Source organism: Homo sapiens, chromosome 10, assembly GCF_000001405.40.
Source record: "Homo sapiens chromosome 10, GRCh38.p14 Primary Assembly".
Taxonomy (NCBI): Eukaryota; Metazoa; Chordata; class Mammalia; order Primates; family Hominidae; genus Homo; species Homo sapiens.
Window position 1 is genome coordinate 84,946,188 of NC_000010.11, and position 20,819 is coordinate 84,967,006.

The 20,819-nt window shown below is 39.8% G+C and overlaps 2 long non-coding RNA genes across 3 annotated transcripts in view; one reads left to right on the forward strand and one right to left on the reverse strand.

The window, feature by feature from the left end:
• Nucleotides 1-587: 587 nt before the first annotated feature.
• LOC107984249 (uncharacterized) overlaps nucleotides 588-20,819 on the reverse strand; it is a 46,275-nt gene continuing 26,043 nt past the window's right edge. Inside the window, exons 2-4 of one of the 2 annotated variants that reach the window (XR_001747521.2) lie at nucleotides 4,739-4,893; nucleotides 4,263-4,414; nucleotides 588-2,916 (exon numbers count right to left, since the gene is read on the reverse strand). This is a non-coding gene — a long non-coding RNA (uncharacterized LOC107984249). Of the gene's footprint in view, nucleotides 2,917-4,122; nucleotides 4,415-4,738; nucleotides 4,894-20,819 lie in introns of both variants that reach the window. The other variant, XR_001747520.2, reaches the window with a different exon arrangement.
• On the forward strand, nucleotides 1,136-4,763 carry LOC105378401 (uncharacterized). The gene is made up of 3 exons (XR_946151.3): nucleotides 1,136-1,191; nucleotides 2,017-2,075; nucleotides 4,515-4,763. It is a non-coding gene; the product is annotated as an uncharacterized LOC105378401 (long non-coding RNA).

Here is a 20,819-nt window from a genome sequence, read left to right on the forward strand (position 1 = left end):
TCATACAAAAAAGTGAACATACTGCAGATTGCACTCAATTCAACCAAAAATGTCAATTTCATTGGATATGACTTTTCCCTCCAAATCATGTTGACAATATAGATAAACTTGCACATACAGAGCTTATATCATCTTGTTGATTGCCTTGCTGATATATATTAATTTTTGAGAAAACTGAAACTTTTGTTGGTTCCATAAATCTTACTATATTTAGAATAACATTTAAAAGCATTAACTCTGGGTAATAGTTGCATTCATTTGATTCTCCTGTGTCCTTGAGAAAGAAAGGATCTGGGTACCTCATTTGGGCAACCTGAAGAAAAATACTCACATGTATGGGACTATCAGGTCCATTTGATACTTAACTATAAACAATGAGCTTCTGGGATTAGAACTATTACGGTAGCTCATATTTAAATAGGCAAATAAATCTGCCTTGAGAAATTTTTAATTCCTAGAATCATAGGCAACATGTTACTCTTGTGAATAACTAATCACCTATCCTGTTACTTGACTTTCTAAAGGGCTTTATTCTCTGGCTTCTGTAGCAGCTCCCTCCCTCCCTCTTCCTCTATTAAAAGGTCATTGCTTAGGAGTTTGCTCAGAGGTTAAATCCAGCTGTATTCCTACAGATTTTTTTTAACAGTAATAAGCAAATACCACAAAATAATTAGCACAAAATAATTGGCCTCTATGTCTGAAATCATCACAGAGGCTTAAATGCCACTGCTAGGTGGTCAAAAATTTATGTTGAATGTTCTCGTGGATGAATTGGCTTTATACCCAGAGTTAGCAGTGCAAGCAAACCATAAAAAAAAATGTACTAAACCACCAACTGACATTATGGAAATAAGACCCTGGCTGGCCAAAAACCACAGTGTATCAATTAGCAGGATTTTAGTAGTTGGCAGAGAGAACTCTGGTTCTGGAAACAGAATGCTACATGTTTTATGTAGTCATGTAATATTTCCCTTGTATTCAAAGATGGTACATAACACCTGCTGTGTGCATCGAGGAAGCTCAGATTACTGTGTTAATGTTTGCATCAACTGAGTTTGGACCGTCTATCCATTAAGTCTGGTGAATGAAATGACTAATTTAATTACCTAATGGATTGGTCTATTTGCTTTTCTCTCCACAGCTCTCCATAGAAATCTCAAGGACACAACTTTTCCCCCCATCTTGTGGAAGGTGAGGTGATAGGAATCTTGATTGCCTGATTCTTTCCAATAGGACTTTACAGAATGGTTGAATGAACCTTGGTGTGTGGTCATCACAGCAGATGTGAGTGACAGATGTTGAATTTGTCAGTTGAATCTGTCAGTCCTTCCAGAGTTCAGAGGTTGTATAGAGGAAGTTCACACTAGCCAGACTCATAGGTCCCCAACTCTGGAGGTAACATATGTTTGCATCAGACAGTCAAGAATTGAAATGTTGGCATTGCCATTTATTAGTTTATTAACTTTGGGAAAGGCTTTATTCTTTATGAATTTTAGTTTCCTCATTTGGAAAATGGAGAGATTACCTACCTAATATAATTATTGTGAGAATGGGGAATAATAGGTCAAACACAAATCTCTGCTTGGCATGCATTAGGTACCACTAAATAGTGTTATTCACTTACGGCAGCAGTAAACCTGGCAGGACATCAGTTTCCTAAAGCAGGTAAAATTACATCCTGGAAAGGTGTTTGGTGCTCATAAATTCAGGATAAAGATTTTTGGATGCCTTTTAAGGAAAATTTGTTTGTTTGCTTTGTTTGTTAAATCCATTAATTTCACCCTTGACCACTTTGAAATCAGGCAGATCTTATTTTCCCTGTAGCCTCTGGGAAGTTACTGGATCTTCCCGAGTCTCATTTTCTCTGCAGTAGATAGAATGGACAAAGTAGTCCTGGTTTTCTGGTATTGCTGTGAAGATTAAATAAGATGATATTCATAAGCCACCTTGTACAGTATCTGCACCTTTGTGGAATAAATGTGATAATTAATTCTCTTCTCTTTCTTAAATTTTAAGGATGACATTTTCTGATATTTGCTTCAAACTCTGAGTGAGACCCTATGCAGGTCCCACAGGTATGTAAGCACTAACTGTCTCTCCTAAGTGACTGGGCCACTGTCCTTGCACAGACCTGCCCATCTTCCCTTACTATGTTTCAGTAAAGACAAATAAGACTGAAGGTAAAGTTAAGGATGTTTTACCACCCAATTAGCATTTGTAGCTCATGCTATCCTCTTTGCCTTGGTTTTGATAAAAGTCCCAGAATTTTATTAACTTTGGTGTATCAATTGCTGGCATTCAGTCAGTGCATCTACAAATTTGCAAACCAACTTAGCTTACCCTCTTGTATTAGTTTTCCATTGCTACTGTAACAAAATGCAACAATTTCAGCTGCTAATACAACACAAACTTAGTGTCTTACAGTTCTGTAGGTCAGAAATCTGACACAGGTATTCCTGAGCTAAAATAAAGGTGTGCATGGGGCTGCCTTTATTTTGGGATACTCTAAGAAAGAGTCTGTTTCCTTGCCCATTTGGTTATTGACAGAATTCCATTCTTTGCTGTTGCAGCCCTGGGTCCCTGTGTTCTCGCTGGCTGTAAGCTGCTGGCAGTCCCCAGGTTCTAGAGGCTACTGCAGTCTTTGGCTCATGATCTACTTCCTCATTCTTCAAAGTCAGCACGTTCTTCTCACATTGCTCAGATTCACCCTGCCTCTTCCTTGTCTTTCACTTTAAAGGAATTGTAAGATTAAATCTGACCCACCCAGATAATCCAGAATAATATTCCCATCTCAAGGTATTAATCTCTTCTGCAAAGTCCCTTTTGCATGTAAGGTAACATACTCACAGATTCCTGGGTTTAGGATGTAGACATCTTTGGGGGTCATAAATCTGCCAACCACATCTCTAGACAGACCTGGAGAAGTAGAGAAAGCAAACTGAAGTCTCTGAGGTATTTTGATTTTACTACATGTGACTTGAATATTCCTGTAAAAAAAAAAACCTGCAGCAAATAAAGAGACTGTAGTATGCAACAGATTAAGATATTTAAAAGGCAGAAAAAAAGAGCAGACTTTCTAGTACTTAGTTACAGGTCCTGCTAACTACAGTTTAAATTATCCTTTAAGGAATTTTTGACAGGTTGGTAAATTACAACCTACACAACCTTAATTAATTTTGTCATATCTCCAATTCACTCAGATTGCCTGAGTTTTTTTCCTTCCATATTTTTTTTAGTGGCTCTGAGTTTAGTTGCTCTCCCAAGAAAATTGAGGCACAACAGAAAGAACAGCTGTTTTTTTTTTTTTCATTCATGCTGTGCTTTTTGGCTGAATTCATCAAGGCACAGAAAGATGAAGTATACTGTATTAAACTACAGTAATAACATGAAGCAATAATGTGGGACAGTACCACGGTATTATAAGCGAGAGAATAATATGGGCCTATAGGTTAAATAACTCTTAGCATTCAAACTCCAGAAATTACTCTCATGGGCATTTTGTTAGGTGAAAGTGACTCTAAGAAAAACTGGGATGGTGTAGACTAGGAGACCATGTGAGGCAGACTGGGAGAGGGTAATACTAGGTAAGGGTTCCTCCATGCCAGCTGCACAGTAGGACCACCTAGGGAGCTTTATGAAAGTACGATGCCTGGATCCCAACCTCAGAGACTCTGATTTAATTGATCTGAATAATTTTTAAATAGCTCCTCAGGTAATTCTAATACGCAGTCAGGATTGAGAATCACTGCATCAAATTAGCCTCCATTATACTAGCGACAGTTCTGAAAATCCCTGTGATGAGGCATCAAAACAGAGGGTTTTAAGGGGCAGGGATAGATCAGAAGAGTCAAGTGAGGCTGGGGTTCCAAGGTGCAGCAATTTGAGGCTGAACCCTTCTGTATTTCTGGCATTCCTACTGTCTTGCCTGTCCAATGAGATAGAGTCTGGGTCTCAGGACTCTGGCCAAAAGATCAAAATTGATTTCTACCTCTAAGGAGCCTAGGCCCTGGAGCACATTTTATTCATTTCCAGAAGAAAGAAACCCCTTCTCACTGCAATTCAAGCTCCTATGGGTGTGCCATTATGGGAGTAAGTGTAAAGGGGTAGACTGATTCTAAATACCTTGGTGAAGATAATTCCCCAAGCTCCTGGCTTTTTCCCTCTCAGGGATCCTGTTTGACTTCTTCAGTGCCAGAAGCCTTTCTACTCGAGATCCAGGCTCTCTCTCCATGGTTTGAGGCTCTTTCAACCCTGCTGCTCACCAAATGATCTCTCTACTGGTGTCATTTCTTCTTGTCCTGGTTGTAAGAGCTGAGCCTTTCTCCCAGATTTGAAGAGAGTTTGATGTTGATGTCATGACTTAGGCATATGATCTTCACTGAGTGGCAGGTAGCCTCTGGGGCAGGTAATGCTTCTGGAACAGGGTTACAGACCTTAATGAGAATCTCAACAGCAAAGCCCTTTTATATAATAGTCCTTCAATTATAACTTTCCTATTTATTTTCTTATTTCAGGTTATTTTAATCTATCTTCCTCACTGACACAAGTTCTATTGGGGCTGAGACCAGAGAAGACAATGTGAGACCCTGCATCCAACAGTATTCCTTTTAGAAACTATGCCCAGACTGAGTGGGTGCATTTTTGTTCTAATACTTTTTCTCTTCTGTAGTTTACACAGTAGGAGATAATCTTTGATATGGCAACTATGTCATTCCCCTCAGTGTGCCCAACAACTCACATCTCATAGCTGCAATAGGTCAGAGACAAATTCCATTATGGAGTAAGGAGACAGTCTTCTAAAGGTGCATTGCATGTAGTGAGGTATAGACATAGCAAGCAATGAATGTTACATCCCAGGAGCAGAGTCTGAGAGAAGACGGGTAGTCGTAAATCCTGAAATTACAACAATTCCATGTAATTCATCAGCTTCTGAGTATCTCTCAAGTGACATTTATTAGTAGAAAGCTTTGTAGAACAGAGCGGTATGCTGGCTAGCCAAGTTGATTGCACTTCGAGGGTGAGTGGATTCCTGAATCCCCTATTTAGATATAGGGCTAGAACAAGATTGAGGAGCCAGTGTGAATATTTTCATCTGGCATTTCTTTTCTCTACTGAGTGAATTCCTTTCTCCAACTCCCAGAACATTGTTCAATGAGGTAATAAAAACTACAATTCCAGAAATTGTAGTTGGATACTACTTTGATAATAATATCATTTGAATCTTAGCCTTTATTTACAACACTTCATTTATAGGCACTATAGTTCCCAGAATGCACCAGCAACGTCAGTTTCCTTTACCCCACAATTTTGCTTCAATATTTTTTTGGAATTTGCATTTTTTACCCATATGTTAAAAATACCTGTCTGGATGAAGGAAAATTGAATCTGTGTTCAGCCTATATTACAAAGCACCATTTTCTGTACTAAGGGTTGGACTGTATCCCAGATTTCTAGTTGGACTCATGTCTGAATCAAGCAGCAAATGGTTAAGAAGGCACTCATTTTTTTCCCCTACGGTTTTGAAGTTGGTCTATTTTTCATACAGTTAAAGTGGGGTTTTCCTTTGACAGAAGCCTTAGTAGGATTTTCTCAAGTCAGTTTTCTCTACGTCAAAGTTAGAATCTATTATTCCCAGAGTCTAGCATTGGTGTATGTGACTTTATTTAGATGACTGTATTTTCATGTTTTCCCCATGCTCTCATCTGTCTTCAAGGCTGTTTATCATTTCTCCTTATTTTAAACCACATGCCTCAAATGCTTTTTGCTCCTACTCTTTCTCCTGCTTTGCTGGAGAGAAAGCATGCCTGACTTTGTCATGGTGGAAATATCATAATTCTTGCAGTTTATGTGAACTGTGATTATTAGCGATTGAAATGTTGCTATGCTTAGGAAGATAGTAAAGGTAGAGTGAGATCCTCTCAAAAACAAGACAAAATGAAGGATTGTTAGGGCCATTCTTCACCAGTAAGGATCATGTAGTGCATTCTCCATCATCTAGGGCCATTCTGAGGACTGTAATGATACTGAAGGGTGACATGACATGCATCTTTATCTGCCCCCTAAATGGAGAGATGGGGTCTGGCAAAGCAGGTGTCATTCAGGCTTTTCCCCTCAATGCTCAGATGCCCATGTAAGGTTGGGAAAGGCTATCACAGCCCTGTGGGTAGAAGGTGAAGAGAAGATGGGACATGGACTGTGAGGATAAGAAGGACATGGGGTGGTGGAGAGAGGAGGGAGTGCTAGGTGTGGGTGGGGAGGAGCTTGCATTAATGGAAAGCGGGTGGGAGGACTGGAAGGGGCCTCAGGATAGAGAGGGGGAATGGTGTGAGAATGGAGGGGGAGCCTGGAGAGAAGGGGACTCATGAACGGAACTGACCATAAGGAAGCTTCATAAATTAAAGACATAATCAATAGACAGGCAACATGGGGAGATAAAAAGGTATTGATAGCTTGAAAGATAAAAGGAAATTTTAATTACACTGTGATTGATAAAATACGATGAAAAGTAGTTCTTTGGCTGCTCCTTGACACTGTTCCCTGTTTGGAAGTTCTGAGGATAAACTAGGATTCTAGAGGAGGGAGTCAGACCTTTGCCACTGGATGCTGTCTAAGCAGAAGCAGGTAGCTATTGGGTCAGGATGTCCTAAGAATACTGAGTTGATCATCCCTCTGAGGGCCATTTGCAGTATGTTATATAATAACCTCACAGGACCTTACGCATCAATCGCACACACTGGGGAGTTTGTCTTTAGGGACATTTGTTCAAATCTCTGCAGTCTGTCTGGACCAATGTAGAGCTGCTTTAGCTAATTCATATACTACCCTCTCATTCCAGCCTGATAGTCACAAAAGGTCAGATTTATTCTGCCTTTATAGGACACCTCTTTCTCTAGCTTGAAAGTATCCCAGTTGAAGACTCCCGTCTAGGGTCCGAGGTAAGTTCTCTGCCCCTTCCCAGGGCCTGCACTGGCTGCCACACCATGGCTTCATCCTTCAGAATTGAGGAGCCACTTGCCCTTCTGCAGCAAGAGATGGATAACACAAACACCAGATGCTGTCCCCAGTGAGTCCATGCTTACATTATGCTACCATCCATGCCTTTCCCCCTACCTTGTCCCACCCTACCAATCTGTAAGGTTTAAAACACAGCAGGCCACGGAAGAATTTGCACAGGATCCAATTCTTCCTCTGCTTTCTAAAACAAAATAAGTCTGGAGAAGAACTCAGAGTCATATTTCACTGTAGTCTCCTACTAATTAATTACAAGCAGCCACAATTCATCATACTTTCAATTAACAATTAATTATGTACAAGAGAGACAAATGTTTTATTGAGACCAAGAAACAACACATATCATTTGTAGTGTGGGGTTTTCTCCTCGCACCATAGGGAAAGGTTTATGGGCTACAGATTGTGTGAACCAGTTTTGCTCTGGAAAATACAAATCTACCTGAACTCACAATCAGAATCACAACCTGGAGTCAGAAAGACTCTGGGTTTGGTGCCAGGAGAATTTAGCAGTTAGGCATGCTCCTTTCACTCTGCAGGAGGAAAGTCCTACCCAAGTGGTGTGTACGGTCCTAGCGGGGACCTCAGGATGCAGAGCCCCCCATCAGCTAACACAGTGTTGTGTAAAGGTTCTGATGTCAGGGGGAGTCAGTGAAAGGAAGCAGAAGCAAGGGGCTCCCCTGCTGCACACAGATGGTCCATCTTTGCTAAGAGCACAGGGTGATCACAGAGAGATCCTCAGAAGGGTATGAGAAAGTCTCCTGTTCCAAGTAAGGCCAATAAAAATTGTCTTTTCTTGAATGGACTTTGTGGGGAAGATGAGGACATGTCTGTCTCCAAGATGGGCACAACAGTATGGCAGTGAGGTCTGAGCACTATGAGTTTCTCTACTGAGAAATAGATGTTAATTGCCTGCCCGAAATTTATTTCCCTTTTTCCCCTTCCTGATAGAGCTCCACATTTCCCAATCTTGTAGGACTGACCCATCCTGGTTTTAGGTGCAGACTCCAGGCACTTTGAGCCAATCAGCATATTCCACCTTGGAGGCCCTGTAATGCGTTCGGGGAAACTGAAAGGAGCTGAGGAACTTTTGGGAAAGTTGGAACATAGATTTCTTTTCCTCTGCTGTGCTTAAATAGTGGAGAATATTACTATTGCTACTACATGACTGCTGCTGTTGCTGCTGCTACTATTATTATTATTATTACTACAAACACTAACACTTGCAGGTCTCTTACTTTATGATGGAGACAGTTCCAAATGCTTTACATGTATTTTCTCACTTAAACTCACAACAACCCCATGGAATAGATGATATCATTGTCCCCATTTTAAAGAAGAGGGAATTAAAACTAGAGTAGTTATGTACTTGATCAAGGCCACATGGCTACTAAGCAATGGGGCTAGGATGTAAATCTAGCTATAACCATTCTGCTATGGGAAGCTTGTAACTGCTGAAGACATAAAGTGAAGTCTGAAGCTTCTGAGGGGCTACTGTGAGGACCTCAGGAAGAAATGGGTCCAGAGGAAGCAGAGGTGATATCTTATGAATCCAGTACTGAATTCTTCCTGGAGCCAGAAATAGCTAAGTCTGCCCTTTGAAGTTATGTGAATCAATAGATTTTCTCTGTTGCCTAAGCCATTTTGAGATGGGCTTTCTCTCTCTTTCAATTGAAAACAATTAAACAACAAATGTACAATTTGATACCAGGAAATAAAAGTTGAAAGAGACAGTGCCATGGAGTTGACTGCACTCATGTATAGACAAGGGGAATGAGAGAAAACCCTCAATTTCAGGGAGTGGGATTAGCATACCTTGCTATGTTGTCATGCACTAACTTGTTGAATTGTCTCATGTTGGTTTTGACATTCATACCACTCATCTTTTAAGGTTGTAGCATTAGGGGTCCTGGAAAACTTTATGGTGTTGAATTTGGGTACTTCTCAAAGCCTTTAATAAGGCTTGTTCAATGGTCTAATGATATGTAACAAGCCACTCCAAAACTCAGTGGCTTAAAACACATATTTATTTCAATTTTTCATGATTCTGTGGTTCTTTGGGCTCACTTTGGTGGTTCTTGCTTGGGGTCTGTCATGTTGCTGTCCAGTGATGGCTGAATCTGCCGGCATGAGATAGCTCAGCTGGGTTGTACATCCAGACAGCTCATTCACAGGGTTGGAAGTTGATGCTGGTTGTTTTCTGGGAGCTCTGCTAGGCTGTTGACCAGAGTGCCTTCCCATAATATCTCCAAAGCATGACAGCAGAGTTTTAAGAATGAGTATGCCTAACATTTCAAGAGGCCCAAGTGTAAGCTGAAAGACTTCTTATAACTCAGCCTCGGAGGACTACATAGGGCAAGAATACCAGGAGGTATGGCTCACTGAAAGATCAATTTGGAGACCAACTCCATGAGACCGGCTTTGGAGACCTGCTTTTTCTCAGCCCTACAAGAAAAAGAGGTTTACTCTGGATTTGGCCTGAGGAGTAACAGAGAGGCCCCAGACAGGAAGAACTAACAGAGGCTCTTTCAGCATGATGCCTGCAGTACAAATCAACTGGGTGTGAAATAACCCACCACGTTGCAACACTGAAAGAACGGAGCTCAAGTTACAAACAGGCCAGACTTGATGTAAGAAAGAGGATAATATTGGGGTGCAGGATGATCCTGATTGCCTCCTCTACATCCAAAAAAATACAACTCCAGACAGGTCTCTTAAAACTGCCTCCGATTCTGTTTTCTCTGCCTGGCACACTGAAGACACCCTGCAACACTGCTTTCTGACATGGAGGAAATGGGAGGTGCCTTCCCTTCCTTGGCTTGTGCTTCGAACGTTCCTGAGGCAGAGTGTGAGGTGGAACACGAGTACTATGATGGAGAGGGATGGACCGAGAACCAACATCTAACACCAAGAGGCTAATTGCCGCAGACCCATCTCAGCTGAAGGATATTACTTGTCACGCTCTCTAGCTGAGGCTGCTGCTTCATAGACTGGCTGAAAGTCAATAGATCAGAATTCCATAGAGCCTTAAGAACAGGTTTCCTGACAAAGAAACTCAAGTTCAGCTAAACTTGGTCTGTGATTGTTCCATCCCAGATGAACATAGAGAGATACTGTTATTTTAACTTGCATTTCCTTTTTTCCTAGTAAGTCAAGTATCGTCACATGTTTATTGACTGTTTAATTTTTATCTTCTATGAATTTCTTCATACCTTTTATCTGACATATTATGGATATTACCCCTTTATCATATATCTGTGTTGTAAATATTTTCCCAACATTTTATCTATTGACTTTATTAATGATACAACATTCCACTAAAATATGTAGTAATTTTAAAAGTATTTAGTAATCTAAATACTAAATTTTGAAGTATTTAGTAATCTCTTTTAAAATATAAGACAATTGGACTCTTGTCTTTGTTTTAATAATATCCCTAATACCTCCTGGCCACTTTCCCCTTGCTCAGTCTGGAAGTTCCTAAAGGGCTTTTTCATCAGCGAGAAGATCCCAGCTCCACCTCAAGTCTTAAGAGCTACTCAGAAAATACTAGTGGAAATGAGGAAAGAAAAAAAAGATGAAAGATGATTTTTGTCTTGAGCCATACATGGACCAGTATGGTAACTGAGAAGCAATTATTTTTTGCTGGTATCTGGGCTTTTGATAAATGAAGGGAAAATTCAAAAGGGTAACCATGACACAAGGCAGGACAGCAGACCTCGTTGTGTGTACTCTGGTAAGTGCAGCTTATCAGAGGCAAGGTACAGAGGGTATTTTGGGCCTTTGAGAATGGTCTTGGCTGAGAGGATCCCAGTGCGTGACTCCACTTCCTTCCTGGTCCCCTTCACTGCCTTCCTCTTTGTCCTTTCCTCTTAGCCTCTCATTTTACTTCATTCGTTTATCTCCTTTCCTCTTCCTCCTTTTCTCATTTCCTAATGTTCTTGCTTTTTCTTCTGTTTACTTCCTTGAGTCAAGGCCTCATGGGCTCTAGATTCAGGGATGACCTGAGGACAAGTCCTGCCTTGGTACTTCCCAGGACAGAGCTCAGCTCCTGTTTGGCCTCCCAAGACCCTAGCTTCTTCTGCAGGCAGAAATTCCCCTTTATGTTGGCAGATTTGGGACAACAAGTTAGTGGACAATGCTGAGGTCTTCTTCTTCTGAGGCAGATACTCCTGTGAAGTGCCAGAGCTTCTTCCAGAGGACACAGTTCTAATACCACCACCTCCCTCTGTATACAATAAAGCTCCTCAAATCTTTATAGGTAGTAGGTACTAGGAGAATCTGTTGTTCTGATATGTGATCTTTGACCCCAGCTCCTGATACAGAGCTCCTAAGATCTTTGCAATTTCCTGAATAATAGGATCATTTGGCACAGAGCTTCTAAATCCCTTGGAATTTCCTGTGTGACAAGAGCATCTTTTGTTCTAAACAGGCAATGCTGGATGAGCTCCTGGAGAGCCTCAGGATGGGGGCTGGTTGCCAACAGAACCAACCATGTGGTTAGAGGGTTGGAAATTTCAACCTGAGTCCCTGACCTCCAAAGGAGGGGAGAGGGGCTGAAGGTTGAGTTGATCAACAATGACCAATGATATAATCAATCATGCCTATGTAAGGAGGCCTCCATAAAAACCCAGAAGGATGAGGTTCAGAGAGCTTTGGAAGTGCTGAACACATGGTAATCCCTCCTAAAGGGTGGCACACCCAGATGGGGTGTGGAAGCCCTGCCCCCTTCCCACATGCCTTGCCCTTTGCTTCTCTTCCATCTGGCTGTTCATCTGTATTGTTCATAGTGTCTTTTATAATAAATGAGTAAACATAAGTAATGTGTTTCCCTGATTACTGTGAGCTGATCTAGCAAATTAGTCAAACCTGAGGAAGGTGTCATGGGAATCCCCAATTCACAGCCAGTTGATTAGAAGTTCTGGAGATCCAGATCTAAGACTGGCATCTGAAATGGGGGCAATGTTTGGGACTGAGCTCTTAACCTGTGGGGTCTGACTCTATCTTTAGGTAGAAAGTGTCAGAAGTAAATTGAATTACAGCATACCTGGCTGGTGTCCAACTGGAGTATCACTTGGTGTTTGGAGAAAAACCCACACATGTTTTGGTGACCAGAAGTAAAGTATTCTGTGTTGAATATTGTGTGGTGTAGAGAGTAGAAAAAAAAAACTTAAAAAATATATTTTACACCTTAGCCATGTAAGGAAATTTATAGCCATACTATCAATTTGTTTAATTTATCACTTATTAAGCTTTTATTTTGATTAGTTACTAAAGAACATAACGAGATTTGTCTTTAGGCAAAAAACAAGGCTCAAGGTATATAGTGAGAGAAAGACGTGTTCAAAAATACCTCAGGGTGGAATATTAATAGTGTACAAATAGAAGCATTAAGAACTATGGGAACAGAAGTAAGAAGAGATTAATAATAACAAAGGAAAAATACTATTACATGTAACAGTAGAAGTACCATTACTAGGAGTCAATATTTATTGAGTGCTTATCACAGGCCATGCATTGTGCTAAGCACTTTAAATGCATTCTCTTAATTTTCATGACCAATGTGTGTTATTTAAGTGCTTTTATTTTATTTTTTGAGATAGAGTCTATGTCACCCAGGCTGGAGTGAGGTAGCATGATCTTGGCTCACTACAACCTCCACCTCCCAGGTTCAAGCGATTCTCCTGCCTCAGCCTCCCAAGTAGCTAATTTTGGGAGGCACATGCCACCATGCTGGGCTAATTTTTGTATTTTTAGTAGAGATGGGGTTTTGCCATGTTGGCCAGGCTGGTCTCAAACTTCTGACCTCAGATGATCCGCCCGCCTTGGCCTCCCAAAGTGCTGGGATTATAGGTGTGAGCCACTGCCTGCAGCCTTAAGTGTTTTTATGTTTTCCTTTATGTTTCATGTCATGAAGGTAAACGTAACAAAAACGAAAACACCATGAGGTGGAGTGAGTTTCTCAACACAAACAGGAAGGAAATGTCCAAGCAAGAATCCACACCCAGAGTACCTTACACTAAATTCTAGGCCCTGAGATGTTCCCTCAAGAAGGCAACATTTGAGCTACACTAAAGGGAGCGGAGTGTTTGGAAATGCAGATTTAGCAACACAGGGAAAAGCAAAAGCTGAAACAAACACCTTGAAGACAGATGAATGCAGAATGAGTTCCACTGTTGCCCTCCCGGGAATCATAATGACCCCTAAAGCTACAAGAAATGAACAGTTTGTACTAGCCTAGGAACAGAAAGATAAATCAATGGAATGGAAGGGAGTCCAGAGACTCCTAGATAGATACATGAGATATCAGCGAAGCGGTCCTCACAGGATTAAGAATAATTCTGGACAGAAATATAATTAAGCATTCATCAGGCTACACTTTGGCCCACTTCCTTTCAACCGAAAGTCCCTTAGGACCAGATACTGACCATTTGCATTACCATCGTTCCTGTAGATAGATTTCTGTTGTTAGAATTATAAGGCTTTTCTTTAAGAATTAATCTGCATTCCTATTGTTCTTATAGATAAGATGTCTGACATTAGACTCATAAGGCTTTCATTTAATAATTGCTTAAGATGTTTCTCAGATCCTGAAATCCAGTGGAACAGTTGACACCAACCATTTTGAAGACCCCCATAGAGAAACTGAATCAGCATGAGAAGAGTTTTTTCATCTTCCTCCCTCATGACACTATCTTGCGCTCTTTCACCAACAAATGATCACACTTGGGCCCACTCCAAACCCCTTAAAAACTCTAGCCCCGAACTCCTTAAGGAGATGAAGTTGAGGTTTCTTCCAGTCTCCTCATTCAGTGGCCTTACAATGAAACCTCCTTCTCTGCTGCAACCCAGTGTCTCAGGATATTGACTTGCTGTGTGCATTAGGCAACGAAGCTATTAAGATAACATTGATTTGGGAAAAGATGGCATTTAAAATCAGTGGCTAAATGATGAAGTATTCTAAAATAAATGGCATTAGACATTTTTGGAAGGTTAAAATAAAGGCATACTTCAACCTCAGATTACTTAATTATATATAAAGAATAAAAGGACTAAATAAAAAATATAGTCAATAATAAAAAAACTAAAATATTTTAACAGTTTGGTGATAGGCAAGGTATTCTCATATAAGAACAGAACTCAAAAGCTGTAAGAAAAAAATATACAGATTTGAATATATATGATTTGAACCATTGAATGGCAAAAATTACTAAAAACAAAGTTAAACATTTAAAAGAAAATATTTGCCATCAAAATACTAGACATAGGATTAATAACCCTAATATCTAATGTGTTTTTATAAATAAGTACAAAATAGATATCAACAGAAATAAAAGATAAAAGATGAACAGGTTATTCAAGCAAAAGAAATACAAATAGCTAATGTACTTTTTTTAAAAAGTCAAATTTACCAAAGATAGGGAAAATGCAAGTTCAAACAACAGCATGGCACCATGGATTTCCTATCATGTGGGCAATATTAAAAATGGTTTGACTGTACCAGGGATGGTGGGAATGTGAAGAAGAGAGTACTAGGAAAGAGACGCACTGTTGGGCATTTCATTTTCTTTGCAGCACCCACTTTGTTGGGAAATGACTCTCTTCTGCATTCAAGCCCCTTGGTGGTCATCGTCTTATAGGACTTTGTCCATTCCAGAAGTCAAGGACTTTCAAAGGGGAAGACTTTCCTTTTAAGTTTTTTTATTACAGTTTTTATTTTGAAATAATGATAGATTCATAAGCAGTTGTGAGAAATACAGAGACAGTCCCTGTATGCTTCAGGCAGTTTCTTCCAATTTGTAACATCTTGCAACATTAGAGTACAATGTCACAATCAGGATAACTGACACTGATATAGTCAAGATATGACATTTCCATCACAAGAATCCCTCCTGTTCTTTTACAGCCATACTCACTTCCCTCCCCTCCTCACCTTCCCCCACTGCCTCCTTAATCACTGGTCATCACTAATCTGTTCTCCATTTCTATAATTGTGGTGTTTCAAGAAGATTCCATAAGTGGTACATACCATACAGTATGTACCCTTTTGGGATTGGCTTTTTTCACTCGGCATAATTGTCTGGAGATTCATCCAGGTTCTTGTGTATATCAATGGTGCATTCCTTTTTATTGCTGAGTAGCATTGTAAGGTGAGGATGTACCACAATTTAACAATTCACTCTCTAAAGGAATCAGTTGTTTCCAGATTTTGGCTATCACGCATAAAGCCTCCATAAATATTCATGTTCAGGATTTTGTGCGATTGTAAGTTTTTATTTCACCAGAGAAAATGCCCAAGACTGTGATTGCTGAGTTGTTTAGTAGTCACAGCTTTAGTTTTTTTGTTTTTCTTTTTTCTTTTTTTTTAACTGCCAAACCTTGTTCCAGAGTGGGTGTACCATTTTACATTCCCACCACGAGAGGTCCAGTTTCTCTGCATCCTTGCCGGTAGTTGGTGTTGTCACTGTTCTTTTTTTTTTTTTTTTTTTTTGAGACAGAATTTCTCTCTTGTTGCCCAGGCTGGAGTGCAATAGTGCAATGGCGCGATCTCAGCTCAGCACAACCTCTGTCTCCCAGGTTCAAGCAGTTCTCCTGCCTCAGCCTCCCGAGTAGCTGGGATTACAGGCATGCACAACCATGCCCAGCTAATTTTGTATTTTTAGTAGGGGCGGTATTTCTCCATGTTGGTCAGGCTGGTCTCGAACTCCCAACCTCAGGAGATCCACCCGCCATGGCCTCCTGAGGTGCTGGGATTACAGGCGTGAGCCACTGTGCCCGGCATTACTGTTCTTTATTTTAGCCATTATAATATTATGCAATGACATTTTGTTGTGATTTTAATTTTCATTTCTCTAATAATGATGTTGGACATCTTTTCGTGTGCTATTTGACTTGTGAATTGTATTAACATTTTTTAGCATTCCATTTTTATTTATTGTGCTTTTGAGTACACATCTTGAACAGCTTTTTTAGTGACTACTCTCCATATTACCTTATGTACGAAACATTATAGTCTACTTGTTTCATCCTTTCACCAATGTGACTAAAGTCTAGAAATTTTACCTACCTTATGTCTTTTTATTTGCCTCTGTTTAGAATATAATTGTCTTAGATATGTCACGTGCATACATTTAGAGCCACATTAGAAAGTGTAATAATTTTTGCTTCCACTGTCAAACATAATTTAGAAAACTCAAGAGGGAAGGAAAGTTGATTATATTTACCCATATTTTGTTTATAATGTTCTGTCTTCTTTGTTGATCTTTCAATATTCTTTCTTTTATCATTTCTTCTGCTTAAAGAACTTTGTTTAGTCATTCTTCTGGGTAGGTCTGCTGGGAACAAATTCTCTTAGTTTTCCTTCATATAAGAATGTTCTTATTTCCCCTTCATTTCAGGAGAATATTTTCAATGTTTGCAGGAATCTGGGTTAATTGTTCTTTTTTTCTGCACTTGAAAAATGTTCTGCCACTTCTGTCTGACCTGCATGCTTTCTGATGACAAATCCATTCTACTCAAATTATTTTTCCCTTATAGATATTTTATCTCCTGCTGTTTTCAAGATTTGTTTCCCCTTGTCTTTAGTTTTAAGATATTTGGTATAATTTATCTTGATGTGGATTTTTTGTTTATCCTATTTGCTCAGCTAAAGCCTGTAGATTTATGTCTTCAGTCAAATTTAAGAATTTTTCAGCCATTATATTTTCAAGTTCTTTTTCAGCCCTGGACTCTTTCTCTCTTCTTCTGGAACTATTATCATGTGAAAATTAGATCTTTTTTTATAGTCTCACAGGTCTCTGAGGCTCTGTTCCTCCTTCCCCCTTTTGTTTTTTCTATTTTTTCCCTATTGTTCAGATTGGGTACTTTCTAGTGTTTTACACACTTCATTCATTCCTTCATCTGTTCCTTCCATTCTGCTCTCCAGACCATCCATTATGTTTTTTATTTTAGTTATTATATTTTTCTGTCCTAAAATTTCCACTTGGTGATTCTTTATATATCTTCTCTGTATTTGCCGAAACTTTCTGGCTTTTCTTTTCAAGTTTTTTCATAACTGCCCACTGAAGCATTTTTATGATGGCTATTTTACAGTCTTTGTCAGGTAATTCTAATACCTCTGCCATCTTGGTGTTGGCATCTATGGATTGCCTATTTCTATTCAAGTGGAATTTTTCTGGCTCGGTAATTTTTTCTTAAGAACTGGACATTTGGGGTATTAGGTTATAAGATGCTAGGTCTTGTCTAAACCTTCTGTTTTTAGTTGGCTTTTTCTGATACTGCTCTGGCAAGGGAAGGGGGTGCATGGTGTAGCTGCTACCAAGTTGGAGTGGAAGTCCAGGTTCCCACTCAGACTCTGTAAACCCCAGAGTGTGTGAGTGTGCCAGGGGTCTCTGTGTTCCTGTTGCATGAGGCAGGGGTTCTAAAATGGCCCCTTACTGGGCCTTGGGTCAAAGCACTTTTACTGGGAGGGATAAGAGTGCCTCCTTAATCCCTCTACATGGCCTCCACTGACACCATAGTGGGGTGGCCTCAATGACACCTAGGAGTGGTAACAGTCTTGACTCTCCCCTAGGCTTCCAGCAGAAAGTGGGAGGAACACTTCTTTACTGCGAGTTGGGAATAAGTCCAGGTTATCCACATGTGCACCATAGTGGGTGGAGGTTAGGGCGGTTATTACTGCCCAGCAGAGATGAGTGTCCTGGCTCCCTCCGCAGCCTTTTCTAATAATCATGAGGGTGTGTGTGGCAGGGATGGTGTTAGGGGCACCTCCGCTCAGCCTGACAGTGTGAAAGTCTTCTTTAGCTCCAAGTCTGGTGTATAGGAGGCAAAAAGAAAACCCAGGAAACTCGCCACCATGCTATTCTTTGGGTCCTGAGATCTTTAGCCCATCTGCCTTCCTTTCTCCAACTTTCAGGGCGTCCTTCTGTTTGTTTTATATATAATGTGTAGGAATAATGAAGAGATTAAGGAAAATTATGAGAGTATCATCCTACTTTCTGCACAGTGACTTCATAATGCATTTTCAGCATCTGCTAAGCAGGTTCTCTCCCATTCATCTGCTTTATACATTTTTTGAACACTATCAGACTATTTTATCCTTTCTGAAAGATCATTTTATCTTGTTTCAAAAGAATAACCACAAAATTGGAATTTTAATTGGAACTGAGTTAAGTATATGTACACATTTTATATTAATTAGGGGAAAATAATATTTTTATGATAGTCTTACATCCAAAAACATGCAATGTTTCATTTTTATTGTTCTATTTTATGTTCTTTGAGATCTAATAGTTTTCTTATGATAGGTTAAATGCTTTTTATTGTTAAATGTATTCCTAAGAAATCTATTTCATTTAGTTTTTACTATGAATTGATTATTTTTCTCCATTTATGTCTAGCAAAGATGCTATTAGTTTTGTATACCTACCTTGTACCCAGTCACTTTGTCAAATACTGTTAGTAATTTTGTGAGCTTTTTACTGGAATCTTTTGTAGCTTTTAGGCATGCAATCATATTATCAACAAAAATGTTTTTAATTATTTGCTCCTCATCTCCATTGCAATATTAATTACTTTATGAGTTTAGTGGTCAAAAAAGAAATACTGAAAAAAATACCTTTCTATGTGGAAATGGTTTAATCAATGTCAAGTTGTCCACAAAACTGAAAGATAACTGCATGTGGAAATAAGTTAACTTGGATAGATTTCAACAGTGAAAAAGCAAAATGCTGTAATATGATTCTGTTTTTTTCTAAAATAACAGAAAAGTGTCAGTATGTAGATATATATACAATATATGTGTATATGATTATATAGGTAGAGGGAAAGCTACGGAAAGATGTCAATAGAGTTATATTTATGACGGGTAGATGAGCAAAAACAAACAAAAAAGACTGCATTACACTATGATGTTAATCACCATGGAAACAGCACAAATGATAAAATTCCAATCATATTAAATTACAAAGAGATCTATAAAAAGACACATGGAGTGATGGCCAAAGCCATGTTACGGTGCCCATGATCTCAGGTGGAATTTCAGGGTAATTTGGTTTTTGTTTTATTTTTTATGAATTATTCACAATGTTTACTATAAGAAATTATATGATGATAAAAACACAAGATAAAGCTTTTTTTATTATAATGTTTGTTTTAAAGCACAATGCCATTAAGGCAATTCCAGCTTAAGAATTAACTTGTGACTTTTGCAAATCTGTGCCATATTGGTTAAATTTCTTTGATAAAAACTCTAGAAAATGAAAGAGAAACAATAAGAACCAAATAATCAATTTAAATAGCCTGAATTGAAGACAAAACTTTGCAATAATCTTTTGGAAGGAAAAAGGCCTCGGCAGCACTGGAAGTCTAGAAAGTGGGAAGTGGTGATCAATTTCTTGGTACTTCAGAGTGAATGCACTCAGATTGTTTTCCTCCTGGGGATCACTGGGAGCAAGAATTAAAGTCTTAAGTCATAGAGCACAACTGTCCAAGCTTGGCTTACAAGCAAGGCCCTTGTTCAGAGTAGGCTGGAGCTGACTGGTTTAGTCTTGCCAAGAGTATATACAAAGAGGAAAGGGAATACTTTCCTAAAGAAGGATTGGGATGCACTCACCAAAAGAAGGGGATAACCAGTCTGGGGAGAATTAAAAAAATAACCAAGCAGGGGCTCATAAAGGCTGAGGGTCTGCCAGATGCGATATCCTCTGCTGGGATGGTCACTGCTCAGTCTGAGTCCATCTGCATTCCTCTTCCTTCCCACAGGCATTGGGGGTTCAGCCTGCAGTTCTCTCCACTAAGTACATTCACAGGACTCCCCTTCCTTCAGGTCTCACAGTCTCTGTCACTATTTTTCCTTCATGTTTCCCTTGCCTGTTGGAGTTCAGGCTCACTTCTTCAAATGGACATACGGTTATAGCAATAAATCAAAAGGGAATAAAAAGAGCAAGATGTACTATAAACTGTCTCAGTCGAAGGGATAAATAATCTGAGGAAAGTCAGGTTAAAAGAAATAACTACCATGAAGAATTAAACATTTATTGGATCACCGTGGTACCCCAGAAAAGACAGAGGAATAGGATTGGTGGAAGAAGATACCCCTAACTGGTCCATGCTGGGAGCAGGCCTTTAGCTATCTGCTGAGATGAGTGCCACCCATTCACAAAAATTTGAGGAGACTTTAAATGAAGAACTTTTCCTTCTTCACATGAAAAGACCCACCATTAGGGACTTTGTTCAGAAACTTTGGTGGGCATTCAGCTTCAAGGAATCTTTCTGTGTGTGGATCCTGTTTAGCTACACTAGTGGCTGAGAGCAATAATCATTTATCCTTTCTCTCAGGTGTGGGTCTGCGGGGGTGAATCTCCTTCTTGGTTCAGGTGTGCGCGTTGCTGGGGTCATCTATTCTCTATTCTGGTCTCAGGCAGAAGAGGCATCAGCTAATGGGGGAAACTTTTCTAATGGAAGTGGCACAAGTGGGAGAGGAAAAGGCCACCAGTGCCAGCACATCGCAAGCTTCTGTTTGTATTGCATCTGCTAATGTTTTATTGGCCAAAGCAAATCGTGTGCTGTGTCTGATATCTAGGGACTGGAACTTCCTACTCCATGGAGGTTGTGGCTGGGGAGAGGCAGTGAGTGATTTTGAACATGGAAACCATCTCCATTCCCACAAGATCCTGCCTGAGTGGGTCAGGGGATAATCAGAGATCCCAGAGTTGGGTAGATGTGTCCCCCAGTGGACTAAAAAAGAACTGACCAAAAAAATGTTGAAAGAGAAGAGGAAAGGAAAAGAGAGAATGAGGGAATCTGAAACT